General features: G+C 39.3%; 1 long non-coding RNA gene, 1 other non-coding gene and 2 pseudogenes across 4 annotated transcripts, besides 2 other annotated features; 3 read left to right on the top strand and 1 right to left on the bottom strand.

The window, feature by feature from the left end:
* ZNF826P (zinc finger protein 826, pseudogene) lies at nucleotides 178-26,485 on the top strand (annotated as a pseudogene). The gene is made up of 3 exons (NR_036455.1): nucleotides 178-357; nucleotides 16,119-16,193; nucleotides 26,105-26,485. The product of NR_036455.1 is annotated as a zinc finger protein 826, pseudogene (transcript).
* Nucleotides 204-413: an enhancer, noted in NCBI's record as "active region_14378". NCBI's record gives its function as "activates an Ori minimal core promoter by ATAC-STARR-seq in GM12878 lymphoblastoid cells {active_cell/tissue: GM12878}" and the evidence as "EXISTENCE:reporter gene assay evidence [ECO:0000049][PMID:35858748]".
* Nucleotides 1,654-2,500: an enhancer, noted in NCBI's record as "H3K27ac hESC enhancer chr19:20605449-20606295 (GRCh37/hg19 assembly coordinates)". NCBI's record gives its function as "activates a minimal SCP1, AML or CMV promoter by ChIP-STARR-seq in primed H9 embryonic stem cells {active_cell/tissue: H9 hESC(primed)}" and the evidence as "EXISTENCE:reporter gene assay evidence [ECO:0000049][PMID:30033119]".
* On the top strand, nucleotides 5,000-10,122 carry LOC124904663 (uncharacterized). 2 transcript variants are annotated; one of them, XR_007067167.1, is made up of 2 exons: nucleotides 5,000-5,016; nucleotides 9,492-10,122. It is a non-coding gene; the product is annotated as an uncharacterized LOC124904663 (long non-coding RNA). The 2 variants fall into 2 exon arrangements; XR_007067166.1 differs by lacking the exon at nucleotides 5,000-5,016 and adding an exon at nucleotides 7,435-7,477.
* BNIP3P22 (BCL2 interacting protein 3 pseudogene 22) lies at nucleotides 8,077-8,629 on the bottom strand (annotated as a pseudogene).
* Nucleotides 25,789-25,871, top strand: MIR1270 (microRNA 1270). The gene has a single exon (NR_036053.1). It is a non-coding gene; the product is annotated as a microRNA 1270 (primary transcript).
* Nucleotides 26,486-26,906: the final 421 nt, after the last annotated feature.

Below are 26,906 nucleotides of genomic sequence, written 5' to 3'. Positions count from 1 at the left end.
TCAGCTCAGGGAGGAAGCCCTGTCTGGAAAGGCTGCATCTTAGGCTGTTACTCCTTCACTCAGCCCAGAATCTGATTACATCTTCTGTCACTCAGGTACTGAGGGGGCAGAGCCTTAAGCATAATCCAATCAGGGAGGCTGGTCTGGAAACCCTCCAATCAGGCAGGCAGCTGGAGCGAAGAGGACGGCTTTCTGGTATGGCGCGGCCTTTGTCTCTTGCTGCCGCTGGAGCTCCAGATCTCTTGTTCACTGCTCTGTGTTCTCTGCTCATAGAGGCCCAGCCTCTGAGGCCCTTTGACCTGCAGGTATTGGGAGATCCACAGCCAAGAGCCAGGACCCCCTAGAAGTCTAGAAATGGTAAGAGTACCGGTCCAACATCCCCAGAGAGGGGAGGGACTGGTTGATGGGAAGTGGCAGTGGCGGGACTCAGGGCTCCCCGCAGTCAGCTCCACAATCTGTGCCCTGAGTTCTCCTTGCCCAGCTTGGCGTTAGTCCCCACCATCCATAAGATGGAAGCTGCTCCGCCGGGCGCGGTGGCTCATGCCTGTAGTCCCAGAACGTTGGGAGGCCGAGGCGGGCGGATCACGAGGTCAGGAGATCGAGACCATCCTGGCTAACACGGTGAAACCCCGTCTCTACTAAAAATGCAAAAAAATTAGCTAGGCATGATGGCGGGCGCCTGTAGTCCCAGCTACTAGGGAGGCTGAGGCAGAATTGCGTGATCCCGGGAGGCGGAGCTTGCAGTGAGCCGAGATCGCGCCACTGCACTCCAGCCTGGGAGACAGAGCGAGACTCCGTCTCAAAAAAAAAAAAAAGATGGCGGGTGCTCTATAAGCCGGTCCCGGGCGTCCTGACTCTTCCCTTGGCAGCGAGTGTGCCCCGGCCTGGAGCCCTCTCTGGGCAGCTCTGCACCCACAGCTCCGGGTATCTCCCAGATTGTGCAGGAACCACGAGAGGGTCTTTAGGGGAGAATCTTGACTCGGGGTGCGGGTTCCCGAATGGGAAGAGCTTTGGTCCGTGGGGTTCACAGTTTCTCTTTTCTCGTATTAAAAATTTATGGGGCCAGGCGCGGTGGCTTACGCCTGTAATCCCACATTTTGGGAGGCTGAGGCGGGCGGATCCCTTGAGGTAAAGGGTTGTTAGGACAACTAAGTTCCTCTTGAAAGACTCAACTTCCAGGTCATAAATTGTAAAAATTGTAAATCAATACTACGCCTTCTTCCCTCTTCTTTCCCTGCAAATCTCCGTTTATCCTATTTGGAAAAAGTTGGGGTCTAAGCCAGTCGGGATCAGTTTAGATGATCTGGTCTGACCCCAGGCAATAGGGGAAGAACACAAAAACAAAACTGCCTTAGGGTTAAAAAACCACTTCCTGGTCGGGCGCGGTGGCTCACGCCCGTAATCCCAACACTTTCAAAGAGCAAGGCGGGCGAATCACGTGGTCAGGAGTTCTAGACCAGCCTGGCTAACATGGCGAAACACCGTCTCTACTAAAAATACGAAAATTAGGCGTGGTGGCAAATGCCTGTAATCCCAGCTCCTTGGGAGGCTGAGGCACGAGAATTGCTTGAACCCGGGAGCCGGAGGTTGCCGTGAGCCGAGATCGCGCCGTCGCATTCCAATATGCGCGACAGAGCGAGACTCCATCGCAAAAAAAAAAAAGTAAGGATCTTAAAATTTCCTTCCTTTATGTAAACCGGGAGGCGGAAGTTGCAGTAAGCTGAGATCGCGTCATTGCACATTAGCCTGCATGAGAGAGCGAGACTCCTGTTTAATAAAATTTTAAAAAGTATCTTAAAATCTCCGTTTATGTAAACACTATGTTTGAGTAATTTCACTGGATTTTTCAAACACTTAGTTTCAAAAACCAGGTGAATAACACTGACATGGAAACTGAAGCTTGAACCTAGTAATTCCAAGCTAAGGCTAATATTAAGGCTGCAAAAAGGAGGTGTTTTTATTTTGTTTTTTGTTTTTTTTAAATTTTGAGATGGAGTTTAGCTCTTGTTGCCCAGGGTGCAGTGCAATGGCTCGATCTCGGCTCGCCGCAACCTCTACCTCGGGTTCAAGGGATTCTCCTACCACAGGCTCTCGAGTAACTGGGATTACAGGCCTGCGCCATCACACCCGGCTAATTTTGTGTGGTAGTAGAGAGGAGGTTTCTCCATGTTTTTCAGGCTGGACTCCAACTCCCAACCTCAGGTTTTTCGCCCGCCTCGGCATCGCAAATTGCTGGGATTACAGGCTTTAGCCAGCGCACTCGGCCAACAGGAGGTTATTAAAGGCCCAGTTCTTTTTTTGCTGGGGAGACTTCCCTGCAGATGTCCCAGCCTGCTCACCCCAGCTATGGAAAGAGCCTTTATCCTGAGAGAAGCTACAGAGCCCTGGAAAGCTGGAGCCCCACAGGCAGATGCAGTTAAGATTAAGATGAAAGGAAACTGGGAGGGTCTTACTGATAATGAAGTTTTTGTTTTGAGGCAAGTTTTAGACTTTGTAAGATAACAACGTTAGATTTATGTAAAACAATGAATTCCAAAAAAGTATTGCAATAGGAGAAAGTATCAACTTACTATAAGGTCTTTGTGGCTTGCAAAACTGTAGGCACAAAAGGACTTTCTTTCCTAAGGAGGATTAAACAAGATTAGAAAGGAGGTGGGAAGGGAATGGCAAATGGAGGGTGAAAAGGTCAGATTTTAGATCACAGAATGTCTTACCCTGAAATCAGCATGTTCTTAGGAGGGACGTAAATGGGGTTGTATGTCGACTCAGACCGAGGGTAGCTCAAAGTTCAGGAGCCTGACGGAGGGAGATAAACTTAAGTAAATTTCATTAAGAATTACTTTATTTTAGGCCAGGGGTGGTGACTCACGCTTGTAATCCCAGCAGTTTGGGAGGCCGGGGCAGGCGGATTACCTGAGGTCAGGAGTTCAAGACCAGCCTTCCCAACATGGTGAAACCCTGTGTCTACTAAAAATACAAAAATTAGCTGAGCGTTGTGGCGGGCGCCTGTAGTGCCAGATACTGGGAAGGCTGAGGCAGGAGAATTTCTTGAACCTGGGAGGCGAAGGTTTCACTGAATGGAGATGGCGCCACTGCACTCCAGCCTGGGCAGCAGAGCAAGACTCGATCACACCAAAAAAAAAAAAAATTGACCACTGAAGAAAAAATCAGCTGATTTTTATAATGAGAAATAGGAGAAAATGTGCAGAGAGTGTGTTTGCCTGTGTGATAGGTAAGAAAAAAGAGCACCATTGAAGTCATAAGGTGAAGGGTGTTTCCATAAACTGTTCCTGGAGTACACAAAGGATGGACAATTTATTTTTTATTTATTTATTTATTTAGACGGAGTCTCGATCTCTCACCCGGGCTGGAGTGCAGTGGTGCAATCTCCAGTCACTGCAAGCTCTGCCTCCCGGGTTCATGCCATTCTCCTGCCTCAGCCTCCTGAGTAGCTGGGACTACAGGCGCCTGCCACCACTCCCGGCTAATTTTTTGTATTTTTAGTAGGGATGGGGTTTCACCCTGTTAGCCAGGATGGTCTCGATCTCTGATCTCGTGATCCACCCTCCTCGGCCTCCCAAAGTGCTGAGATTACAGGTGTGAGCCACCGTGCCCGGCTGGAGAATTTTATTAATCACAAACATTTTTCATGATTATCTATGTGTTTCATCTTTCCCCATCTCTTTTCTTTGTTCTATGCATTTCTTCCATTTGGCTTTTCCTGGGCTGCATCTTATATATTAAACCGGTAAACATAACTACAGTGTTTTGATGAGTTCTGTGAGTAGCTCTACCAAATCATTGAACTTCAGGGAGGTTTTGGGAGTCCCCAGTTTTCAAACAGTAGCTCAGAAGCGTAGATGGGCCCATGGGGTTTGTGACTGGCATCTGCAGTGAGGACAATGTTGTGGAACTGAGCCCTGAATCAGGGTCTGTGCTGACTCTGGGTGGTGTCAGAATTTAAATGTTAGACAATTAGTTGTTGGAGAATTGTTTGATGCTCAGCAAACTCTACAGATTTGGTGCCAGAAAAAAGATATCACAGAGGCCTGGACTGGAACAAAGCTCTGGGTGTTTAGAAATGGGAGGCTCTGCTCTCCTGTACACAGGCTGTCACATTGCCCATTGTCCTGTGATTCCAGGTCTTCTCCCAGGGTGACAGAGGACTGAAAACTCAGAAGAAGCTCTTATGACAGACCCCTTTTCTTGCAGCTGCTACTACAGGATTCCCACCCACTCACAAACACACACACTAGAAATTGAGGTATCCACACTTCTCCCAGGACTCGGCACCACCCTCAAGAACTTCACCATGGCATTTTTGATCCTAGTGTTTCTTGCCAAGAACCCAAAAATCTCTACAAGTCTCCTGGCATATCCCCACCCCTAGATACTAAATTTGCAGCAGCAACCTGTTTTCTCCACCAGCCTAGGGTCTGGGCCACCTGTTTGTAATTTCATCTACCTGCATTCACACAGAAATAAATCAGAGTACAGCCCCACCTGGGCTACTATCTATAGTGAAAAGCAGTCCATGCACCTACATTGCACTCTCCCCCACCTTGGAGTATTTTTTTCTTTTAGGTTTTATTTGTGATTCGGTGTACATGTGTGGGTTTTTTATACAGCTAAAATTATGTCATGGGGGTTTGGTGTGCAGATTATTTTGTCATTGAGGTCCTACCCATAGTACCAAACAGGTATGTTTTCTGATCCTCTTAGTTCTCCCACCCTCCACCCTCAACTAGGCCTCAGTGTCTCTTGTTCTCCTCTTTGTGTTCATGTGTTCTTATTATTTAGCACTTACTTAAATAATAACATGCATTTGGTTTTCTGTTTCTACATTAGTTTTATTTATTTATTTATTTGTTTCATTTTGTTTTGTCTTTTGAGATAGAGTTTTGATCTTATTGCCCAGGCTGGAGTGTAATGGTGCGATCTTGGCTCACGGCAGCTTTTGACTCTCAGGTTCAAGCAATACTCCTGCCTCAGCCTCCCAAGTAGCTGGGATTACAGGTGCACACAACCATGCCTAGCTAATTTTGTATTTTTAGTAGAGACGGGATTTATCCATGTTTATCAGGCTGATCTTAAACTCCTGACCTCAGGTGATTAGCACACCTCAGCCTTTAAAAGTGCTGGGATTACAGGTGTGAGCCTCCGCACCCAGCCTTTGCCTACTTTTTTTTTTTTTTTTTTTTTTTTTGCAACAGTTTTGCTCTTGTCACCCAGGCTGGATTGCAATGACGTGATCTCAGCTGGCTGCAACCTCTGCCTCCACCTCCTGGGTTTGAGCCATTCTCCTGCCTCAGCCTCCTGAGTAGTTGGGAGTACAGGCACCTGCCGCCACGCCCAGCTAATTTTTGATATTTTTAGTAGAGACGGGGTTTCACCATGTTGGCCAGGTTGGTCTTGAACTCCTCTCAAGTGATCCACCCTCCTTGTCCCCTCAAAGTGCTGGGATTACAAGCGTGAGCCACTGTGCCCGTCCTGTCTACTTTTTAATGAGGTTGCTTGTTTTTTTCTTGTAAACTTGTTTAAGCTCTTAATAAATTCTGGAAAGTCGACCTTTGTCAGAGGCAAATATTTTCCTTTATTCTGTAGGTTGTCTACTCTGTTGATAATCTCTTCTGCTGTGAAGAAGCTCTTAAGATCTTCACAATTGAAAAATAGGTCCCATTTTTCAATTTTTGCCTCTGTTGCAGTTGCTTTTGGTAGCTTCCTCATGAAGTCTTTGCCAGTTTCTATGTCTAGAATGGTATTTCCTAGGTTATCTTGGAGGGTTTCTCATAATTTTAAGGGTTTTTTTGTTTGGTTGGTTTCTGTTTTTTTTTTTTTTTTCAGACGGAGTCTCGCTCTGTCGCCCAGGCTGGAGTGCGGTGGTGTAATCTCGGCTCACTGCAAGCTCCGCCTCCCGGGTTCACACCATTCTGCCTCAGCCTCCCGAGTAGCTGGGACTACAGGCGCCCGCCACCATGCCTGGCTAATTTTTTGTATTTTTAGTACAGACGGGGTTTCACCATTTTAGCCAGGATGGTCTCGATCTCCTGACCTCGTGATCCACCCGCCTCGGCCTCCCAAAGTGCTGGGATTACAGGCATGAGCCACCGCGCCCCGCCATAATTTTAAGTTTTACACTTAAGTCTTTAATTTATCTTGAGTTGATTTTTGTATACGGTATAATGAAGAGGTCTAGCTTCAGTCGTCTACATAATGTTAGGTAGTTATTCCAGCACTGTTTATTAAATAGAGAATCCTTCCCACATTTCTCTTGTCAGCTTCATCAAAAATCTGATGGTTGTAGGAGGGTGGCATTATTTCTGGGCTCTCTATTCTGTTGCATTGGTCTTGTGCACTCATGGATTTTTTTATAACATCTTTCTCTTTTCTGGTTTTTCCTTCATAAACATTCTGTCAAGTGCATAGAGTGTGCAAATTTCAGATGTCCAAGAGTTCAAAACTCTTCAATAAGTTCCAAAAAAATATTTTGCTATTCCCTCTTTGCTTAAGGGATTTAGATTATATATAGACAATTTTCTCTGCTTTTTTGAAATGTATGTAAATCATATTAACAGCTAAATAATGTCTTTTGTCATTTTTTCTTTTTCATTTTCTTTTTTTTTTTTAAGACAGAGTCTCGCTCTGTCACCCAGGCTGGAATGCAGTGGGGCAATCTCGGCTCACTGCAACATCTGCCTCCCAGGTTCATGCCCTTCTCTTGCCTCAGCGTCCCAAGTAGCTGGGACTACAGGCGCATGCTGCCACACCTGGCTAATTTGTATTTTTAGTAAAGACGGGGTTTCACCATGTTAGCCAGGATGGTCTTGACCTCCTGACCTTGTGATCCGCCCACCTCTGCCTCCCAAAGTGCTGGGATTACAGGCGTGAGCCACCATGCCCATCCCCTTTTGTCATTTTTCTGACTCCAGATTATCGTTATCTGGTACTTCAGATTTATTGGTTTGTTTTTGGTTCTGAAAACTTTATTTTTTTCATTTTTAGTCCTTTAAAATAGACACAGATTTGTTTAGGTAAAAGCTAATTTTAGAGCACAAAAAAGCTTAGCACAAAGATAGGATTAAATTTAGTAACACAGAATGGTAAACAATAAAAGATACTACGTTTCTTTGACAGAAACCTGATGATCTAAGGAAATTATCCAATATTTGCAGGCTGAAGTACTTGCACTGCAAAAACAAGAACAGTCTAGTGTATAAACTTAACAGTGGAGTCAGTAGTTGTACCTTGCTTTCTATTTATTACTTCAGAATAATTAGCATAGTTATACGTAATGTTTGTAGACAACCTGCATTTATATACATTTAACAGTATTCTCTTTTTTTTTTTCTTTTGAGACAGAGTCTCACTCTGTTGCTGAGGCTGGGGTGCAATGGCATGATCTCGGCTCACTGCAACCGCTGCCTCCCGGGTTCAAGCGATTCTTCTGCCTCAGCCTCTTGAGTAGCTGGGATTACAGGTGTGCATCACCATTCCTGACTAAGTTTTTGTATTTATAGTAGAGATGGGTGTCACCATGTTCTCCAGTTTGATCTTGAACTTTTGACCCAGGTGACCCACCCATTTCAGCCTCCCGAAGTGTGGACAAGGCATGAGCCATAAACAGTATTTTCTACAGTAACATGAATATAAAGCCGCAATACTTACTTTGAATGAATCACTTACATGGTTATTTTAATATTGTAATTTATACTTTTGAAATATAAAGTGTTTTAACTGAAGTATAGTTGCAATTTTTAAAACTACATATATTATTACTAGTTTATTAAAATTATTCATACTGATATTTATATCTAATATCTAAAGAAAATTTATTACCAAATTGTCACAGTAAGTAGATATTAGTGTGACATGTTTATTACTTTATTCAATAGGGATAATTATGAGTAAACAAAATTTTAATATCTTTTATTTCACTAAATTGGTATGCTGCTATTACATGACAAATAAAGACAGGTGATGTGGCCACCAAAAACCATAGTAGCTCTTCAGTTAGCTATGTTGCAAGTTCTAATATATTCCAATAAATGAACACAGTCAGATTCTATTTCTTCATCAGAAGGTGTTGTGGGAAGTTGTCAGATGTATTTCAATACAGAACCCCTATTCAATGACTAGGAGATGATGGATCAGCAGAGATAGAAAAGAAACTATAAAATTCTTCTGAGACTTTGCCCCTTTCTTCATAATGCTAATGTTTCTCATGCAGAGAGTAGCTGTGCACTTTGGGTGTTTAGAGAGAAATTGCTTTCAGGGGAATATTTTCTGGCTGACATCATCAATCTTACATCTAATCTGAGCTTTTTCTTAAGATAGTTTTAGCTTTTTTCTCTCAATCTTGCTCAGACGGAGATCTGTTTGTCTCTCCAAAGCTTTAGGTGTCTGTTTCAGAAACCCTATTAATATCCCATTTTTTTCTGAATGAGGTGGGCTGTCATAGTGAGAACTTTTGGAGCTATCTCTATCTTGAGTCATGCTGAAAATTCAGCAGTATTTTTTCCTTGTCACCATTATAAGTAGAAACTGAGGTTGAAACACTGCTCTCATTTCCATTATTGTGAATGTGTAATTCTACCCAGGAGGCCTGCAGGCTCTCCTCCTGCAGCTCAGGCTTCACTATCTGATGTGACACTAAAGTGCTGCTGTGGCAAATGGGATTCACATAAAATGTGAGCTGTGCTCTGGGCTGTGCCTCAGTGGCACATGGTAGAGGTCAAGAGAGCATACTAGCAACCAGGAGAAAGCAAGCAGGAGTGCTGTAGCCCAGTGGCAGGGAGTACAGAACCACAGCTCTAAAATGTAAATAGCAAAAAAGAACCCTATTCAACCATTTTTGTAGCAGAGTAAGAGGCTACCTTCAGCAGGCACCTGGCTTCAAGCTGCTAAACTACCTCCTGTTATGAAGATGTGAAAAGTTTATTTGTCATTGAATATAAGCAATTAGTATACACAGATGGCCTCTTCAATCTCCAGGTGAATTTAGGATGAACTATGTATGACATGGTGCTGGAAATTCTTCTGCTTGGGGACTAATATTGGTGACCATCTTTCTATCTTTGCAGTCTCTTAAGCAGACTGACCATGATGCATGTCACATTCAAGTTCAATTGTGTAATAAAACCATTTTCTTTCTGTTCTATTATTGTGGAGTTTCTCTGGAGCTGGATAAAATCTGTCTTTTAATTATTGTTTCCAAACACTGTCTAGAATTACCAGACATGATATAAACACAAATAAGGTGCCAACCGGAACTTACTCTAGAGGGGACTATTCCTCTCAGGCTTCCAGTCAACTCACACTTGTGCAGCAAAGTGCATGCTGTCCCCTAAATATGAAGGCAGAATTGTGTCCCTGCCTATTTGGTATCTAGAGTCCTTTACAGTCACTGCTAGAGAGACTAGATCAGATTTCTACAAATTTCACAGGGAAGCAATCAATAATTTTTTCTCTTTCAATGACTCTTGTATTTTCAGACCTTAAACAGATTCAGAGACCGTGGGGCCAACAAACTGAACTGGAGTAACATGTGAATTGAGTAGACATGTAGACAAGAAAGTCTCCACTATCCCCTTTCTACTCTTGCTGAAATGCTCACTAATGTGCAAGTAACACCTGCTGCTACTCCTGCCATTCAGGACCTAAATCTGTAGCTCCATATTTTGAATCCAGATCTTGAGATTTGGGAAATAAAAAACTTTTATCTAAAAAGTGCAAGCACTTTTGGTTATCAAACTCAGAGAGATGTTAAAATGAAAGAGCAGTTAACATCTTTCTCTCCCCTTTGAACTATGTATTCATCCCTTGAAACTGTTCACTATTGCCACAAGTAGCTATAAAGTAAATTAACAATGCCACATTGGATACTATATTCTATACCCTAAACAATAATGATATATATCTAATCAATAATCAATATTATTTATCTAAATAAATAAAAACTTCTGACAAACAACTTTGTATCAGACCACTCTATGTCCCTCTCTTGTCTTTACAAATCTTGTAACTGCTGCTAATCAAAGTGTAGATTTCAGGCAACTTGAATCTTTGCTCCCTGGTTATAATCCTTAAGCTTAAACCAAATAAACTGTCTACTTATATTCTTGATATGTCAGCTTTTTTTATTTAGACTTATCACTTAGAATGTTCTAGAGCAGCCTCTATGAGGGTACTCTCCTTTGATTGTACTCCATTTGCTGTAACACCAAAGGATGCAGAGCCAGGTTGATCCTATCTAGAATCTACAGATTAGGTCCGGCCTCTGCCTGGGATTTAAAAAGTGCCAGACTTTGGATATGGAATGTACAGAAAATTAACAAAAGTTATTTTCTGCATTGTAAGTTGTCAAGATAGACATCTTACAGCCCCCATTTCAGAGTGTGGCATTTTGAGTTTTTTTACATCTTTTTCATTGACCTGCTACAGTGATGTGAGAGGCTCCAGGAGGAAATAGAATCTGATGGCAGAATCTGTAAGTGTAAATAATCATCTTAGGAGTGAGAGATCAGGCCACAAAGTATCCAGAGCCATGACCACAACTATGTTTACCTGTAAAATGGGATACTGGAGTAGAGTATTTTTGTTCTGTCTTTTACCCAAGTGCTAGCATATCAGGACAGGTGACCCAGGTTCTGGGGCTCCACCAACGCAGTTTTATTTTCTATTTAGAATCAGCCTGAGTCGCTCCAGCCTGGCTTATCATTGGGCCATCAGCCCTGGGTCACTGGGAATTCCCTCACAATCACCTAGGTTTCTTTGAGGCATTTGAGGATGTCCAGAGTAGAATTGTGTCAGGCTGACAAGAGTGGTTAATTCTGCTTCTGTCTCAGTGTAAAGAAAAATGAGTCATTCTGTGTTTGTTCAACCCATCATACAAGAGTTGTCTTTGGTTTGTACAGGGATGAGAGTTTCTCCAGTTTCCTGGTACTTGGATGATAAACAAGGAGATCTGGAGACCCAAGTAGATAAACTAGTTGCTTCCATTTCTTATGGTCATTAAAAAAAAATACATGAAGCAGTCATGGTACCTACCACCTGAAGGGATATTAATGAACAGTAGAATTGTTATAATTAATTTTTCTTTTTTTGAGATGGAGTCTTAGTCTGTCACCCAGCCTGGAATGCTGTGTCATGATCTTGGCTCACTGCAACCTCTGTCACCTGGGTCTAAGCGATTCTCCTGCCTCAGCCTCTCAAATAGCTATGATTACAGTGCCTCCCACCACAGCCAACTAATTTTTGTATTTTTAGTAGAGAAGAGGTTTCACCATCTTAGTCAGGCTGGTCATGAACTCCTGACTTCATGATCCATCTACCTCAGCCTCCCAAAGTGTTGGTATTATAGGTGTAAGCCACTGTGCCCAGCCGTATAATTTCTGTTCTTTTACCTTCGTAAGTGTACACACTGATTTTCTTATAAAATTACCCTAGAAAACCTTAAGAGAATTGTTTAAATTGCATATTAGTATACAGTATAAAGTTGACAGAGCAGTGCTAGAAAATATTAAAATTACAGAAACTCTGGGGTTTTTCTTTTAGGTAAGATTAGAAAAAAAGAAAACTGTTAGTACCACAGTGGCATAGAGAACAGAATTCTATAGGATCCTCACCTTGTCCCAGACATGTTCAGATTCACCCTTTTTGGAGGCCTTATTTAGGTCTGACCCTACTCTGGAGTCTTGCCTCACAGAACTGATTAGAAGATATCAGAGTTTTGGCTGGTGAATCCAATTTCCTGAAACCCAAAAGCAGATAAATGGGAAAAATAAAGTATGTATTGTAGAGTCTTAGTTTTTAAATTTTCTGTTAAAACCAGTGTTGGCAGAGACATTCTATTTAGCAACTTGTTTTCTATTCCTGCAGATCCAGTAGTTGCTCCACAAGTCACAGAAAAGTAAACATAAACAGAATAAAATTTTCTCTAAACTACAATAAACTCTTCTATATCTCTTTCATCTGTATATATTTAGCTTTTATTCTTTACAATGTTTAAAAAAATTTGGTAACAGAGAAACAGAAGAGGCAGTAAAAATTCTCTGCCCTTTATCTAAATCCTGGAAATTATTAAACCCTGAGTACTAGCTCCAAGAATGTTACAAGAATTAAATCACATAATATGTTATGCCCAGCATAGTGCTCTGTATCATACTCTTGAGCACAAAGTACCTGCTTAATAAACATTGCATTTGTACATGTGTACATGTTTTTTAAATGCAGACTTATCCAGACATTGCTGCCTTCTGTTTCCTCTGTAAACTTTAAAGACCCAGCAAAGAATATAAAACTTTAGCATAGATGTGTTGTCCTTATTTGTACCAGAAGTATTTGGTTGTGACAAGAGTTCTAAGTGTAAGGGACCCTCTGCTATTCCTGCTTTCTCTAATGCTAATAATGAGCCAAGGAGAAGCAACATCAGCATTGACAGGGGACTTGTTTAAAACACCCATTTATGGACCCTTTTCAAACCTACAGAATCACATAAAGTGGAGTCAAAATTACCAAGTGATTTATAAGCTTCTTAAAGCTTGAGAGGCAATGCTTAGCTTAGTGGTTATCAGCCCAGGCTTCTCATTAGGATCACATGGCCAATTTGCAGAAATCTCTTGTGCCTTCCCCACCGGTTCTGTTTATTGTTCTGGGTGGAAGTATCCATGTTGTTTTAATGAAGGGCTTCACGTGACTCTAAGGGGAGGCCAGAATCAGGTATGAGGGTCTCAAAATACTTTCATGAGAGTTAAGAAGTTCCACCTTTGCACTAAGTGGTGCGCACAGGACCTGTTCTGTTTGGTTTTGGTAGGGGCAGGTCAGTGTGGCACATATTTCCATTACTGTAGCAGAAATTGCTGGTGTCTGTGGCAGAAAGGGCACCAGAGGACATGAAAGGAGAAACTTATATTTTTATCTTCATGGAGCATCTCATTGTTCTTGAATCTTTTTGTTGTAAAAAACAGAAATGGGTGGACTTTTTCTGTCTTTTTCTGCCAGTTGATGTCATGCTAGCAGGTAAACATGTGGTGCTGACACATTTAAAGGCATAGTCTCAAGATGCAGGGGTAATTTGGCCAGAGAATCTCATCTGACAAGGAATTCCAGAGGAGGAGGTGAAAAAAAAAAAAAAGGCTTCTCTTCAGGTAAACATGTCTCAGATGAAGAGCTGTGTTCACTCTGCCTCCTGGACTGCCATGCATGTAGCACTCACAAACCTTTACTTCTCTACTTGTGTTTTTTCTCCCTGGGTTTGGTTTAACTACTTAAAATTCTTACGATAGTCAAGGGTCTCTGAAAAAATAATTTTTCTTCTATATCCCAGAGCTTTCTCTGCATTCTCTGTGTCATAGCTTCTTATATGCCATGCAGGATTCTCAGCAATAAGTTATGATCTGCAATATTAAAAATGTTCCCTTTGTGGCTGTTGAACATGGAAAGATGCGGCTACTCAAGATTTCTATTGGGGAAAACTTTTGTCCTTAGTAAAGATGGAGAACGTGTAATGTTGAGGCTCCATCTGTGTGTTTCATTAATTTATGCAGAACAGGATTAAGACAATACTTATTTATATGGAATGGCATTTATTACTCAGAAAGTTCTGAAAAAAATTATTAGGAGATACCTGATCTCTTGGGTGCTAAATGAAGTCTCCTTAAAATTACTACTGAACATTACAGAACATAGGAGTTTTCTGTACTTTGAAATTAGCATAAACATGTTTCTTTATTATTAAATTCAGATTTTATTTACTTCCTTGGGAGGAATATTTCAACAGTGATGTTGTGTTCTTCTGTGTGCATTAGCGCATCATGAAAATTTGTCCTTGTGCAGTTAATGGTTTATAATTCACTTGGTGAAATAGCTCTCTGACAGATTGTTTTCACTGTAGAGTTAATTATTTTTCTCTTCATTATTAATTATCTTTTTTTTTTATTTTTGAGACAGAGTCTCGCTCTGTCACCCAGGCTGGAGTGCAGTGGTGCAATCTCAGCTAACGCAAGCTCCGCCTCCTGGGTTCACACCATTCTCCTGCCTCAGCCTCCCGAGTAGCTGGGATTACAGGCGCCCCCCACCATGCCCGGCTAATTTTTTGTATTTTTAGTAGAGACAAGATTTCACCGTGTTGGCCAGCATTGTCTTGATCTCCTCACCTCATGATCTGCCTGCCTCGGCTTCCCAAAGTGCTGGGATTACAGGGATGAGCTACTGTGCCCGGCCCCATTATTAATTATCTTTATGCAGCTGATGTGGATAAACCATCACATTAAATCTGGCAGCTTTTTTTTTTTCTACATACTTTTCTTTGGAAAATGAAGGCTCTTTGTTTACAGGCCAGGAAAACTGGGAAAAACACATGCTCTTCCACTTACTGCATGTTTGACAAAATATCCTTTTTGGGACAAAAACATTGACATTATTGGTGAGCTTGTTAGAAATTCAAAAAATCAGACTTTATGCCAGATCTTCTGGAAAAAAAAAAAAACCTGCATAAGGTCTTCAGCTTATTGTACATATTAAAATTTGAGGCCAGGCGCGGTGGCTCACGCCTGTAATCCCAGCACTTTGGGAGGCCGAGGCGGGTGGATCATGAGGTCAGGAGATTGAGACCACCCTGGCTAACACGGTGAAACCCCGTCTCTACTAAAAAATACAGAAAAAATTAGCCAGGCATGATGGCGGGCGCCTGTAGTCCCAGCTACTCTGGAGGCTGAGGCAGGAGAATGGCTTGAACCCAGGAGGCGGAGCTTGCAGTGAACCGAGTTCATGCCACTGCACTCCAGCCTGGGCGACAGAGCGAGACTCCGTCTCAAAAAAAAAAAAAAAATTTTGAGAGGTGCCTTCTAACTCAACATGTCTTTTCCATCTGAAAAATATTCATAATTCCATGTGATGTAAATATAGCACTCAAAAATGTACATGTTCATGTTCATGCTGTTAATTTTATACTTTATTATTTAGAAAAATATCATACATGAAATAATGTTGTAGATCTTATGCTGCTCTTCTCAGAGTCAGAGAATATAATAGGGAATATTTCTGTGTTGAAAATTGTTTTACTGGATAATTTTAGTCCTATAAGTCAGAATCAGTTCTCTTTACTCGCTCATTTCATCTTAAGTCAAAAATTCCACCCATGGCGACTTGGTAAAAATGTGTGTGTGTGTGTGTGTGTGTGTGTTTCAGGGGCCATTGCAATTTACAGATGTGGCCATAGAATTCTCTCTGGAGGAGTGGCATTGCCTGGACACTGCACAGCGGAATTTATATAGGGATGTGATGTTAGAGAACTACAGACACCTGGTCTTCCTTGGTGAGGACAACTTAAATACATAATTCACAAAAAACCCTAAAAGTTTTATTTCTTTTTTAGTGGAATGTTTTTAAATAATTTATTCTTTGCATAAGAGTTTCAGATGGCCTTTTTCCAGAAAATCTTCAGAATTTGTTCATGTAGAAAAGAATTTCTGCAAGATGTTTCACCTTAATCCAAACTTCTGCATTCCTGACTTGAGCTCTATTCTTCACTCTAAATTAGTGGTAATTCCAGAAATTTAGTTGCATAAAATATTGTTGCCCCCACCTGAAAATCTCATTGACACAAGCCATTTTTGATTCAGTAGTACCAAGTAGTAAAATTTAAAAAACCTATAAGCAGGGCCCAGTGTGGTGGCCAGGTGCCAGCACTTTGGGAGGCTGAGGCAGGCAGATCACCAGAGGTCCGGAGTTCCAGACCAGCCTGACCAACGTGAAGAAACTCCATCTCTACTGAAAATACAAAATTAACCAGGCATGGTGGCTCAGGCCTGTAATCCCAGCTACTCCAGAGGCTGAGGCAGCAGAATTGCTTGAACCTGGGAGGCTGAAGTTTCGGTGAGCCGAGATTGAGTGATTGTACTCTAGCTTGGGCAACAAGAGCAAAACAAAAGAAACCTACAAGTTGAAATTATTTCTTAATATTTAGAAATTTGTTATAAATTAGTATTTTGGCATTAATTTACTAGAATATTTTATTTCATCTTCTCTGCTGAGCACACTACTAGCTTGTAATTAAACAATATAAGCAAGATTCATGCTATTTATTTTTAATAAAACAGGTATTGTTCTCTCCAAGCCAGAACTGATCACCTGTCTGGAGCAAGGAAAAAAACCTCTGACCGTGAAGAGACATGAGATGATTGCCAAACCCCCAGGTAGGTGCAAGTGAAAATGAATACAACAGATGACACAAATGAGAGGTCGCAACATCCAAGAGAAGGCCAGTCCTTAAAATGTGACCTGGGAAGCTGTGTTCTAAAGGAAATAGTTCCTGGGCAGCTGTTTTTTGTTTGTTTGTTTGGTTGGCTGGTTGGTTTTTAATTTTGTTCTCACCAAGGGACATCTTCTGTATCATGCTTTTAAATTCTCTAAGAATTCTTTTGTTGAGCTTCTTTCAAGTTCACAGTGAGAACCAAAGTCCTCTTTATGACATATGAGTCTGCTCAATCTGGCTGCTTTTCCATTGTTTTGGGGACACAAAAATATCTGCATGATTTTGAGAAACTAAAACTATTTTTTAAGTTCTCTTTTTGCATCAGATCTGAAATGTATAAGAGTAATAGTTTGTATTGCATTTTTTGTTCATTTTTCTGCACAATACATTCTGTTTTTATTACTATGTAGTCTTGAAATACAGTTTGAAATTATAAGTATGGTATCTTTCTGCTTTGTTCTTTTTCCTCAAGATTGCTTTGGCTATCAAAGTTATCTTAGTTTCATGTAACTTTTAGAATCGTATTTTCCACTACTATGAAAAAAATACCACTGCAATTTTGATAGAAAGTTTATTGAATCTATAGATCACTTTGGATAATATGCCAATTTTTAAATTTATTTGGATCTTCTCTAATTTTTTCTTTTTTTTTTATTGTAAAGATTTTTTACCTCCTTGTTTATTTTTTTTCTAAGAAGTATATTATTTAATGCTATAGTAAATAAGGTTTTTGTCTTTCTCTATTTTATCAGTTTGTTTTAAATGTATGAGACCATACATATACTTGTATGTTAATCTTATATTTTGCTAATTTACTGAGTGTATTTATCAGTTTAGACAGGTTTTAATGTGCTGTTTATGGTTTTTTAAATATAAGATTGTATGATTTACAAACACCAATTTTTACTTATTTTTCTTTAATTTTAATGGATTTTTTTATTTCTTTGACTAATTCTGCCACATGCTTCCAGTGCTACATTAAAATAGAAATATTGACAATGGGCACAATATAGTTTTGTATTGGTGTCTGAATTTGATGGAGCAAACACTTCATGTTTTCATAAACTTATTTTAGAAGGTAATGATCTTTTGTTGGGCCCTTAGGGTGATGAGACACCCTCTGAATTTGTAGTGAAGAGGGGTTGTAGCTTGGTCACAAGGCTGCTGGGTCTGCACTAGGGTTCCCCTTTAGTTGGCTTGATACAGGGACTTGGGTAGTTGTAATTCCCATTTTATTTTTGGACAGACTGCATATCCTTCAGGACTTTGCTCAGTAGGGCAGGCACTACAGCATGTTTTTGCAGTCAGGTCTGCATACGCTCGGCCTTATATCAGGATGTGGATGAGTGTGGCTTTTAGTGAGTACCAGAGAGCGTTTCCTCAGAAAACTGTGTGAGTTTCTATATAGGCAGAACTGACCATAAAATTTTCTTGTTTAAGTGAGTAGCCATAGACACAGTCTTATTTTCACCATGTGTTTAATGATGAACATATATTTTCTTTTGTGAGAGAAACATTTTTGTGATTTGAAGGTAATTTTCAAAATGATTTATAATTCTGGACATTTTTCAGTTTTTCTTTAAAAAAATTGTTTTAAGAACACGTAACATAAAATTTACCATCTTAAATCTATTCAAGTCTATATTTCAGGGCCATGCATGGTTGTGGCTCCCATCTGTATTCCCAGGATTTTGGAAGGCCAACACAGGAGGATCCCTGGAGCCCAAAAGTTTGAGATCAGTCTGGGCAACATATGGAGACCCCTCTATATAAAATAAATTTAGTAATAGCTAGGCATGGTGGTGTGCAGCTGTGGTACCTGCTACTTGGGACGTTGAGGAGGAGTCAAAGGTGTGCCACTACACTTTAGCTTCAGTGACAGAGTGAGACCTTGTCTCAAAAGAAAAGCTGTTCATTTCAGGGATGTTAAGTATATTGACATTGTTATGCAAAAAACTTCTAGAAACCTTACATCTTGTAAAATTTAAACTCAATACCCATTAAGTAACATCTGCTCATTTTACCCTCTCTCCCGTCCTTGACAGACAAACCTTCCACTTTGTTTTTATGATTTTGACTACTTAAGGTATCTCATATGAGTGGAATCATACAGTACCCATAATGTTCTTACTGGATTAATTCAAGTGACATAATATTCTCAATGTTCATCTTAAAATGTGACAAGATTGTTCTTTTTAAGGTGGAACGATATTCCATTGTATGTATATGTTATATTTTTTGATATGTTTATAAATCAAGAGAAATTTGGGTTGCTTCAGCCTTTGGGCTTTTGTGAATACTGATGCAATAAACATAGATTTTCTTTTCTTTCTTTCTTTTCTTTTTTGTTTTGTTTTGTTTTGTTTTGTTTTGTTTTTGAGACGGAGTCTTTCTCTGTCACCCAGGGTGCAGTGGCACAATCTTGGCTCACTACAACCTCCACCTCCCAGGTTCAAGTGATTCTCCTGCCTCAGCCTCCTGAGTAGCTGGGATTACACATGCCCACCACCACACCGGCTCATTTTTGTATTTTTAGTACAGACAGGGTTTCACCATGTTGGCCAGGCTAGTCTCGAACTTCTGACCTCAGGCGATCTACCCACCTTGGCCTCCCAAAGTGCTGGGATTACAGGCATGAGCCACCAAGCCTGGCCATGGATTTTCAAATATGTCTTCCTGGTCCTCTGTTGCATTTATTTATTCATTCATTCATTCATTCATTCCTGTGATTTATGTATTTATATATTTATTTTTGTAGAGATGGAGTCTCGCTCTGTCACCTAGACGGAAGTGCAGTGGTGCGATCTCAGCTCACTGCAACCTCTGCCTTTTGGGTTCAAGAAATTCTCCTGCTTCAGCCTCTCTAGTAACTCGGATTACAGGTGCCCGCCAAAACGCTCAGCTAATTTTCTGTATTTTTAGTAAGATAGCGTACATTATGTTGGCCAAGCTGGTCTCAAACTCCTGACCTCAGGTGATTTGCCCACCTTGGCCTCCCAAAGTGCTAGGATTACAGGCTTAAGCCACTGCACCTGGCCTGTGTTACATATTTTGTATATAGATATATAAATGAGGAACATTAATAACATTTTAAAATAATGACTACATCTTTGTTTTCCACCAACAACCAACATGGGTTTCATTTTTATTGCATCATCAACAGAGTTGGCATTTTTTAAAAAATATATAGTGGCCATTCTAATGGGTGTGAGATGATTTCGCTGTCATTGTGTTTTTTTTTCATTTCTCTGCAAATGAGTAATTTTGTGCATCCTGTCAAATGTTTCTTCCCATTTGTGTAGTTTTTTGATGAAAGTTTTGTTTGTTCATTTATAAATCAAGTTATTGAACTTTATGGTTTAGTTTTTAGAGTTGTTGATATATTTTTAATATTAACTTTTTTCACATGTAATTTGCAAATATATTCACCCATTTTCTAAATATGTTGTCATTCTCGAATTTTCTTTTGATGTACAGAAATTTTGACATCTACTATAGTTAATGGTTTCTATTCTTGTATTTGTTGCTCATGCATTTAATGTCATATCTAAGAAAATGGTGCCAAGACAATGTCATGTCTTTTTCCTGTATTTTTTCTGAAAGATTTGTTAGTTTTTTGTGTCTAAGTATTTTATTTAAAATATATTTTTGTATCATTCAAGAAAATAATCCAACTTTATTTTATCGATGTTGATATTCAGTTTTCAACACCATTTTTTGAAGAGATGATTTTTCTCTATTTTGTACTCATGGCAACCTTTTGGAAGATCATTTGATCATATACAGAAGGGTTCATTCCGGAGCTCTCTATTCTGTTCTTTCATCTGTTTATCTTTGTGTCAGTATCACATTGTTTATGTTACTGTAGCTTTTAACTGTAGGTTGTATTAACATCTTTGAAAAATAAAGTTTTTTGACCCCTGAGCAAGAATATGTTGAAGAATGTGTCTTATATTCACATATTTTTGAATTTGCCTGTTTGGCTTGTGCTTTTAATTCCTAGTTTCATTCAGTTTTTGTTAGAAAACACAAGAGTGTGTAATTTTAGTGTTTTTTAATTGATTTGTTGTTGTTTTGAGACAAGATCTTATGGACATTGAGGCTGGAGTGCAGAGGCATAATTTTGGCTCACTGTAGCCTCAGCCTCCTGGGCTCAAGTTATCCTTTCACCTCAGTTTTCTGAGTAGCTAGAACTGCAGACATGCACTACCATGTCTGGCTAATTGTTTGCTTATTTGTAATGTTAGGATCTCACTATTTTGCCCAGGCTAGTCTCAAACTTTTGGCCCCAGTGGATCCTCTTACCTTGGTCTCCCAAAGTGTTAGGATTATAGGCGAGAGCCACTGCACCTAGTCAGTACTTTTAAATTTAATAAAACTTGGTATATGTCATAACAGAATACACCAGATGCAAGTGGGAATATTATGTATTATCTTGGTTTTGACTGGAGAGTTTTGTGTGTGTCTGTGAAGCCTAGTTGGTCTATAATATGGTTTGGATGTCCATGTTCTCCAGAACTCATGCTGCAAGATAAATCCTCAATGTTGGATGTGGGACCTGCTGGGACATTTTTGTGTCATGGGGGAAAATTTCTCATGAATGGCTTGGTACATCCTCTTGGTAACCAAAAAGTTTACACTCTATTAATTCAGATGAGAGCTGGTTCATTAAAAGAACCTGGCTTCTTTACCTCACACTTGCTCTGTCTCATACCATATAATATGTCCAGTTACTCTTTACCTTCTACCATGATTGTAAGTTTTTTGAGACCCTCACCAGAAGCAGATGCTGGCACACACTTCTTTTACAGTCTGCCAAAGTGTGAGCCACATAATTTTTTTCTTTATAAATTATAATCTCTGAAGTATTCCTCTGTATGCAAAATAATATAGTCTAATATTGTCTAAGTTTTGTTTTTCATTTTTTTCTCTGAATTTTCTATTATTGCAAATGGGGTCTTGATGTCTACAACTATTACGTTGCTGTGTATGTCTTGCTTCAGTTTTGTCAATATTTGCTTTATATATTTTGGAGCCCTGATGTTATATACACATATACATATAGATAGATGAATATAGTTATAGATTCCTGGTAAATTAACTCACTTTACTATAATATAATATCAGTCTTCACCTAATGGTAGTGCTTGACTTAAAGCATGTTATGTCTAATATAATTATGACCACCTCACTCAATTGTGGTTACAATTTTCATGAAATACACATTTTTTTCCTTCTGTTACTTTCAGCCTATTTGACTCAATGCTACGATGAGTCTTTTGTGGGCAGCATACAGTATGCTTTTTAAGAAACCACTGAGGCATTCTATGGATTTTTCTTTAGGTATATTTATTTATGTATGTATTTATTTATTTTGAGACAAAGTTTCACTCTTGTTGCCAAGGCTGGAGTGCAATGGCATGATCTCAACTCACTGCAACCTCCACTTCCCAAGTTCAAGTGATTCTACTGCCTCAGCCTCCTGAGTAGCTGAGATTACAGGCACCAACCACCACGCCTGGCTAATTTTTTGTATTTTTAGTAGAGATGGGATTCCACCATGTTGGCCAGTCTCTTAAACTCCTGACCTCAGGTGATCTGCATGCCTCAGCCTCCCAAAGTGCTGGGATTACAGGCATAAGCCACTGTGCCCAGCCTCAGTTATTTTTGAGATAGGGTCTCACTCTGTCAACCAGGCTGATTTGCATGGTTCACTGGTGACTGAACCTCCAAACCTCAGATGATCCTCTCATTTTAGCCTCTCAAGTAGCTGGGTTACCAGTAAGTGCCATCACACCCAGGTAGCTTTTTTTCTGTAGAGACAGAGTTTTGCCATGTTCCCCAGGCTGGTCTTGAACTCCTGGGATCAAGTGATCAGCCTACCTTGGCCTTTGAAAGTCCTCCAATTACATTTCATTTTATTAAGCAGTTTAATTAATTTATATTTACAATGATTACTTAAAGAAATGAAGTTGTTATTACCAGTTATATTGTTATTGTTTTATGTGTTTCTAGTAGTTATATTTTTCTCATTTGCTGTTTTACTTTCTTAATTTTCATTTAATTTTGTACTGGCATGCTTTGATTATTTTTTATCTTCTTTTCCATACTTTCTACAAATATTCCCTTTGTAATCATTTTGAAAACCAGAGATTACATACATCTTAAAGTTAAAACAATATGTTTTAATCTCATAACAACTTCAATTGAACACAAAAACTATGCCTCTACATTTTCTAGTTTGTTATTGTTATAAAAATTATTTCATATGGTGTATCTATTGATTGATTCATGCAAATTTACATAGTTTTTTATATTTTATAAAAGAATTTTAAAGTTTTTCTGTACCGTCTTTTTTTTTTTTTTGAGACTGAGTCTTGCTTTATTGCCCAGGATGGAAAGCAGTGGTGTGATCTTGGCTCACTGTAAACTCCACCAGGTGTGGTGGCTCATGCCTGTAATCTCAGCACTTTGGGAGGCTGAGGTGGGTGAATCACAAGGTCAGCAGTTTGAGTCCAGCCTGTTTAACACGGTGAAACCGTGTCTCTACTAACAAATACAAAAAGTAGTCAGGTGTGCTGGTAGGCAACTGTAATCTCAGCTTCTCAGGAGGCTGAGGCAAGAGAATCACTTGAAACTGGAAGGCAGAGGTTGCAGTGAGCCGATCACACCACCGTACTCCAGCCTGGGTAACAGAGCGAGACTCCATCTCAAAAAAAAAAAAAAAAAGTATGTTTCTTGATTGGAAAGATAACATATATATTTAAATAGTTTTCTGAAATAGAAAAATTTACTGTTATTTTTATTAATTGTTTTATTTGATTGTTGTGTCTTTGTCTCTCATTTTCTCTTTCTGCCTTTTTTGTGTTTTTTTTATTTTTGTATTGATAGGCTTTCAGTTCCCTCTTATTTACTTTTGTGTAGCTCTACAGATATAATCTTAGTGGTACCAGGGGACTCCATAAAACCTCTAAAATATCCAAAAATGTATTTTAATGTGGTAAAAAATTAACTTCAGTTACATACCAAAATTATTCATCATAACATCTGCCTTCAACTTTGTTATTGATTTTGTTAATTATATTTCTTATGTTGTATATCCATTAACAGATGTTAATAATTTCTGTACTTTTATCTTTTAAATTTAGAGAATAATTAAAAATGTTTTCTGTATCATTATGATAATGTTAAGTAAGAAATACCATTTTTGTGAATTTGCATATCTTTTCCAGAAAGTTATGTATTTTCATATGATTATGTGGTGTTTTCTTACATTATGTTATTTTCAGTGGAAGAAACTCCTTTCAGCATCTTTGATATGTAGGGTGTATGCAGTGCCAATATACTTTCTCAGGATTTGGTTATTTTGGAAGGACTTCTTTTTATCTGATAGTACAATTTTGCTGATGGTATTATTCCCATTTGACAGCTTTTTTATTATTATTATAAATTTAACAATATCAGTTTCCTTTTGACATGCAAAAATGTTTTAAATAAATTCACTGGTTATCTCATGAGACTATGCTTATAAACGGAACATCATTTTTATCTTCAGCACCCAAAATTCTATTCTTATATGTGATTTTTGAAATTTTGCTTATTTGGGTGTTATAAATATATTTGTGTGTATCTAAGTTTGTTTTTTCAGCTTTTTCATGTTTACGTATTTTCTTGTAATAAATTTTTCAGTTATTTTTTGTACTTTTTATATCCACAATTTTTTGTGTGTGTTTACTTTAGTATTTCTTTTTGTTCTCATTTTTCTGATCTTCAATAGTTGTCTGTGTTTCTGGTTTTTTTTCTGATACAGAGTATTTTTCTGTCACCGAGGCTGGAGTGCAGTGGCTCAATCTCGGCTCACTGCAACTTCTGCCTCCTGGTTCAAGCAATTCTCCTGCCTCAGCCTCCCGAGTAGCTGGGATTACAGGTGCCTGCCACCATGCCCAGATAATTTTTTGTATTTTTAGTTCAGATGGGGTTTCACCATGTTGGGCAGGCTGATCTTGAACTCCTGACCTCAAATGATCTACCCACTTCAGCCTCCTAAAGTGCTAGGAATACAGGCATGAACCACTGTGCCTGGCCTTTTTTACTTTATTTTTGAGACAGTGTTGCTCTGTTGCCCAGTCTGCATTGCAGTGGTACAATCTCCACTCACTGCAACTTTCCCCTCCTGGATTCAAGCAATTATCCTGTGTCAACCTCCCAAGTACCTGGGATTACAGGCACATGCCACCATGCGCAGCTAATTTTTGTATTTTTAGCAGAAACAGGGTTTCACCATGTTGCTCAGGCTGGTCCCAAACTTCTGACCTCATGTGATTTTCCCACCTTGATCTCCCAGTGTGTTGGGATTACAGGAATGAGCTACCAACACTGGGCTGTTCAATTCATTTGGAATTTTAAAAATTACTTTACATACTTTTTATGGTTGCTTTTGAAAATTTTATAATTTTTTTGATGGGGCCATGTTGCTCTAATATTTGGTATACATTATAACCTTTGATTGAGATTAGGACATTAACAAAAAGCTACCTGTTACAGTCTTTATAATATGGCTCTGTCCTGGCATAGTCTGAAATCAATTGTCTTGACTCTAGATTCTGAGAATTCCTCAAACATGTTTTTAAGGTGTGTCTTGTTTAAAATTTTATGTTTATTGTTTAGTTAATAATAAGTAATCATTCACTACACCCATTCCCTGTTTGGGTTACTGCAGTTTCTCTGCTTCTCTATAATTTACCTTCAGACTCAAAGTGTCATTCTAACATATATCACCATTTTTTTTGGCATTTTGTGTCATGGGACATATCAACTAGTGTCTAAAAAAGCCCCTAGAAGCCAGAAATAAAGATGTATGTGTCAATATTTTTCTTGTTTTTTAAAAAAGAAACCAGGAGTTGGCAATTTACATTTTTGTGTGTATGTGTGAGACAGAGCCTCACTCTATTAACTAGTCTGGAGTGCAGAGGCATGACCTTGGCTCAGTACAATCTCTGCCTCCAGAGTTCAAGCAATTATCCTGCCTTAGCCTCCCAGGTAGCTAGGATTACAGGTACCTATTACCACCCCTGGCTAATTTTCTGTATTTTAGTAGAGATGAGGTTTCACCATGTTGGTCAGGCTGATCACCTCTGGTTGTCCTCCATCTTGTTCACCCAAATTGCTGGAATTACAGGCATGAGCCATCATGCCTGGTTGGCAATTAACTTTTTTTTTTTAATTTTTATTTTTTGTGGTGGGGTCTCACTCTGTACCCAGGCCAGAGTACAGTGGTGCAATCTCAGCTTACTGCAACCTCCACCCCCTGGGTTCCAGCAATTCTCATGCCTCCGCCTCCCCAGTAGCTGAGATTACAGGTGCCCATGACTAAGCCTGGCTAATTTTTTGTATTTTTAGTAGAGATGGGGTTTCACCATCTTGGCCAGGCTGGTCTTGAACTCCTGACCTCAAGTGATTCACCCACATCTGCCTCCCAAAGTGTTGGGTTTACAGACACAAGCCACCACACCAGGCCAATAATTTACTTTTAAAGGCACAGAGTTATACTGGAGATATGGAAGAGCTGTGTTGGGTATAAGTAACAGGCTTTTCTTTATCTTCTATGTGGCTCTTTGCATTGTGCTCACCTGGGACCCTTCACACACTTAATTCACTTATACATTTTTTACAAATTGTATTTTGGTCAGTATGTTTTTGTTACATTTATATGTCCAGGAAGAAATTACAGCTTGTGGTATTTTGCCATGTCATCTTCCTTAGGTAGTCTGTGAAATTTTATAGGTTAGATTTGTAAAATATATTTATCTGAGTCTAGCAGTTGAAGTGTTGTGTTTTTATTGTCTCTTTCAGTTATTTGTTCTCATTTTGCCCAAGAACTTTGGCTAGAGCAGAACATAAAAGATTCTTTTCAAAAAGTGATACTGAGAAGATATAAAAAATGTGGACATGGCAATTTACAGTTAAAAAAAGGATGTGAAAGTGTGGATGAGTGTAAGGTGCAAAAAAGAGGTTATAATGGGCTTAACCAATGCTTGACAACTACCCATTGCAAAATATTTCAATGTGATAAATATGTGAAAGTCTTTCATCAATTTTCAAATTCAAACAGACAGAAGACGTACTGTAAAAAAACCTTTGAAACATATAGAATGTGGCAAATCTTTTAACCAGTCCTCAACCCTTACTACACATAAGAAAATTCATACTGGAGAGAAACCCTACAAATGTGAAGAATGTGGCAAAGACTTTAACTGGTACTCAACCTTTACTACAGATAAGATAACTCATACTGGAGAGAAACCCTAAAAATGTGAAGAATGTGGCAAAGCCTTTAAGTACTCCTGTACCCTTACTACACATAAGATAATTCATACTGGAGAGAAATCCCACAAATGTGAGGAGTGTGGCAAAGCCTTTAACTGGTCCTCACAGCTTGCTATTCATAAGATAACTCATACTGGAGAGCAACCCTACAAACGTAAAGAATGCAGCAAAGCTTTTAACCATCCCACAACCCCTTCTTCACATAAGAAAACTCATACTGGAGAGAAACCATGCAAGTGTGATAAATGTGGCAAAGCCTTTATTTTTTCCTCAACCCTTAGTAAACATGAGAAGATTCATACTGGAGAGAAACCCTACAAATGTGAAG

Source organism: Homo sapiens, chromosome 19, assembly GCF_000001405.40.
Source record: "Homo sapiens chromosome 19, GRCh38.p14 Primary Assembly".
Classification (NCBI taxonomy): Eukaryota; Metazoa; Chordata; class Mammalia; order Primates; family Hominidae; genus Homo; species Homo sapiens.
Note: the sequence above shows the minus strand (reverse complement) of the source record. Positions and strands in the feature narration are given on the sequence as shown.